This window comes from Homo sapiens, chromosome 3 (assembly GCF_000001405.40).
Source record: "Homo sapiens chromosome 3, GRCh38.p14 Primary Assembly".
Classification (NCBI taxonomy): Eukaryota; Metazoa; Chordata; class Mammalia; order Primates; family Hominidae; genus Homo; species Homo sapiens.
The window spans coordinates 83,513,875-83,518,348 of NC_000003.12; the positions used below are offsets into that span (position 1 = coordinate 83,513,875).

A 4,474-nucleotide genomic window follows, 5' to 3' on the forward strand; every position below is an offset into this window, starting at 1 on the left:
TAGTAAATGTCTCTTTTCATACCCTTTAGATGTCAGACTCTAAGTTAATCTCCCCTGGATCCAGAAAAAGCCTAGAAAGGGAAGGCCTAGCTGCATTAATGGAGATTCTCAACAGATGCAAATTTCCCCCACAAAAGACTTTGCAGGCGCATTTCCATTTGCTGACCCTGTGGCAGCTAGTTAAAATATGTCAGAGAAATATAATTTGGTGTAAAATATTTATGTTTCATTCGATATAATTTACAAAACACAAATGCACCCATTTTAAGTGTACAATTTATGATTCATATCAAATTTATCTATTTGTGCAATCATCACCAGCATCTGATTTTAGAACATTCCTAGAAGGTTCCCTTTACAGGTAATCCTCATTCTCAGGAAACTACTAATACTCCCCCAAACTCAGGCAACTACTAATCTATCCCCATATTCAGGCAACTACCCCCATACTCAGGCAACTACTAATCTATCCTCATACTCAGGCAACTACCCCCATACTCAAGCAACTACTAATCTAGTCTTTATATCTAAAGATTTGCTTTTTCTCAACTTTCTATATAAATGGAATAATACAATATGTGGTCTTTTTCAGCTGGCCTCTTTAAATTAACGTGATACTTTCATGTACGTCCGTGTGAAGAGACCACCTCACAGGCTTTGTGTGAACAAGGCTGTTTATTTCGACTGGGTGCAGGTGAGCTGAGTCAGAAAAGAGAGTCAGCAAGGGAGATGGGGTGGGGACATTTTATAGGATTTGGGTAGGTAGTGGAAAATTACAGTCAAAGGAGGTTGTTCTCTGGCTGGCAGGGGCTGGGGTCACAAGGTGCTCAGTGAGGGAGCTTTTGAGCCAGGATGAGTCAGAAGAAGGAATTTCACAAGGTGATGTCATCGGTTAAGGCAGGAACAGGCCATTTTCACTTCTTTTGAGATTCTTCAGTTACTTCAGGCCATCTGGATGTACACGTGCAAGTCACAGGGGTTATGATGGCTTAGCTTGCACTCAGAGGCCTAACAGATACATTCAAAGTTCAATCATGTAATAGTGAGAGACAGGATTAGCTGGATTTCCTAGGCCAACTAAGAATCCCTAAGCCTAGCTGGGAAGGTGACCGCTTCCACCTTTAAACATGGGGTTTGCAACTTAGCTCACACCCGACCAATCATATAGTAGAGAGAGCTTACTAAAATGCTAATTGGGCAAAAACAGGAGGTAAAGAAATAGCCAATTGTCTGTTGCCTGAGAGCACAGCGGGAGGAACAATGATCAGGATATAAACCCAGGCATTGGGGTGCTACCCTCTTTGGGTCCCCTCCCTTTGTGTGGGAGCTCTGTCGTCAGTCTATTAAATCTTGCAACTGCACTCTCTTTTGGCCTGTGTTTGTTATGGCTCGAGCTGAGCTTTCGCTCGCCGTCCACCACTGCTGTTTGCTGCCCCTGTCGCAGACCTGCCGCTGACTTCCATCCCTCCGGATGCGGCAGGGTGTCTGCTGTGCTCCCGATCCAGTGAGGCGCCCATTGCCACTCCCAATCGGGCTAAATGCTTGCCATTGTTCCTGCACTGCTAAGTGCCCAGTTCGTCCTAATCGAGCTGAACACTAGTCACTGGGTTCTACGGTTCTCTTCCGTGACCCACGGCTTCTAATAGAGCTACAACACTCACTGCATGGCCCAAGATTCCATTCCTTGGAATCCGTGAGGCCAAGAACCCCAGCTCAGAGAACACGAGGCTTGCCACCATCTTGGAAGTGGAAGCAGCTTGCTGCCATTTTGGAAGTGGCCTGCCACCGTCTTGGGAGCTCTGGGAGCAAGGACCCCCGATAACATTAGCATGTATCAGTACTTCGTGTATGGATATACAACATTTTATTTATCCATTTAGAAGTTGATGGTCACTTGGCCTTTTTCCACTTTTGTACCATTATAAAAAAAACAAAAAATATTTAAGATGAATAATTTTGGACATCTGTTGACAAGGCATAAAATGAACAAATGTTCAGGGCGCCTATAATTTTGTCTGAATATTATCCTAGACAAAGAAGTAAAAAACTGAGAGTTTAGAAGTTTGGATGAATCATTTATGTGTTGGTTTAAATCATAAACGAAAATGAAAAGAGTTGTAGAGGAGAAAGAAAAGGAAAGCTAGGTACTAAACTTATCAGTGAGTGTCAGTAAATAGCAACGTGAAGGAATGAAATGCAGTGAAATCTGATGACCTTCACTTCACACAGACTAGAGTTTAAAAAGGGAGGAGGAGAGACAATGGCAAGCAGCATGTGAAACAATGGCTTTTATTTGTATCTTCTTTATCTCATTTGGTATGTGAACTATTTGATATGTGAAATATAATGGTATGTGAAGAAATTAATAATCCCTCTTTTAAGAGTGCTGCAGAAGAAATAGCATCTTCATGGACAGCTAGATTTGCGTTAGAGCAAGAAGGTGATAGGGTGGCGGAAGGAAAGCTTACTTAGACAGAATGCCATGGAATAATTTAGAAGTTCAGGAGAAATGGAAGTCTTACAGTAGGTAGCTTGTCAGACACTAATAGGGCAGGAGAGGGCCCCCACCTCCCACCAGGAAAGTCAGGTGACCATTAGGTGATGGTCAGGCAGTTTGTCACACTGCCTCTCTAAAATAATAATAGGTCACAGCCAGTGCCAGGGAAAGGTAGTCTCCCAGTAGATAGGGAACACCTGAAACTGGTGATCAGCAGCTTTCTGATAAGATCTCAGGAGTTGGGTGAGTGGGCTCGAGCATGCACATTAAGAGGCAAAATGGCGAATATGACCTTCCAAGGACATTCTGCTGATAAGGGAAGAATGCCTCAAGTGAGTGTGCTCGTAACACCAGTAAACACACTGTGCATGCTCCCCTCTGAAGTGCTAGCAGGCCACAGGGATGTGGACAATTCACCCCCACGGAAGAATCAGGGGAGAAGGGATGCAAGACCCTGGAAGTACGCCAATGTATAAAACCCCAAGTCAAGATGTCAAACCCCACACTTGTCCTTCAAGTCACCCCCTTGGCCCTCTTCCAAGTGTACCTTTCTTCTCTTTGTTGCTGCTCTAAAGCTTTTTAATAAACTTTCACTCCTGCTCTAAAACTTGCCTGGGTCTCTTATTCTGCCTTATCCCCCTCCGTTGAATTCTTTCTTCTGAGGAAGCAAGAATTGAGGTTGCTGCCAACCTGTACGGATTTGCTATCAGTAACAGAAATAGAACTACAGTGGATTGAATGTGTCGCCTCAAAGTTTATATGTTGAAACCTAATCTCCAATGTGATGATGTTAAGTAAGAGATGAGACCTTTGGGAAGTGAGATTATGTCTCAAGGCCAAAGCCCTAATGACTGGGATTAGTGTCATTATAAAAGAGGACCCCCTCATTCCTTCCATCACATGAAGACTTTGGTGCTCTTACCTTGGACTTTCTAGTATCTAGAACTGTGATACATACATTTTTGTTGTTTATAAACCACACATTTTAAGGTGCTTTTGTTAAAGCGGTCCAAACAGAGTAAGACAGGGACTACTAATTCAGGGCAACATTTCTCAGGATTTATGTCATTACCAAAGTCCCATTTTATAACAAGTAGTTTATAACACTATTTTAATATTGTGAAATGTAATTCATAAAAATGTAAACAACTTGAAAACACACTTAAAAGTCAATGCAATATTCTAAGTATAATATGGGAAAATCAAAGGAAAATAATTCATATTAATCATGTATGTCACTATATTAACACTCAGACATGAGTTTAATATAGGTATAATAATATAGTCAGAAGCTTGCATTTCTACTTAGCATCATCCTGAATGAGGTAAAAACGCAGACTGTTAGTATCATGCCAGTCTGACAATTCAGACATCACGAGAGGCTAATGGTGAACCAATTTTCCGACATAATGACAATTTTGGTAAAGTGCCATTTCTTTAAAAAGTGTAGTCTTTTCTTGATTTACGTAGTTAAAATCGTAAAAAAAATCACAGGTTTTTGTTTTGTTTTGTTTGAAAAATAACAACTTTGTATTGAAAACAAATAATAGTCTTTGTATTTACATGTAAAAGATAAGGTAGGCTTCATGAATATCTTGAATATCCCAGACGTCTAAAAAGTCAAATTATACCTATTATTTCTGAATCCAGACCATTAAATACCAGTAGTAACTCCCCTCAACAATCATTGTAAAAACAAAAATGCAGCTTCCTAGGAAAAGTCAAGTGTGTGTTTAGCTCCAGTAATTCAAGGGAATATGTTGAGTATAATGAGAATTAGCATGCATGAATAAGCAACTATTTTTTATGCTTTTGGTAAGCATGAAAATGTTACTAAAAAAAAAAAGAACAAGATATGATAGGACTGGCCCTGGAAATCAGAGAATGAAACTACTAAGAATCACAGGCAGCTGCTGTTTTCTTCCCTAACCCAAGGTGTTGTGTGTTAAAGAGGGAGAGGGACATCTGAACATGGTG

The 4,474-nt window shown here is 40.8% G+C and overlaps 1 annotated feature.

The window, feature by feature from the left end:
- Positions 325-1,524: an enhancer, noted in NCBI's record as "P300/CBP strongly-dependent group 1 enhancer chr3:83563350-83564549 (GRCh37/hg19 assembly coordinates)". NCBI's record gives its function as "activates an origin of replication core promoter dependent on BRD2, BRD4, P300/CBP, MED14 and CDK7 cofactors, with strong dependence on P300/CBP, by STARR-seq in HCT116 cells {active_cell/tissue: HCT116}" and the evidence as "EXISTENCE:reporter gene assay evidence [ECO:0000049][PMID:35650434]".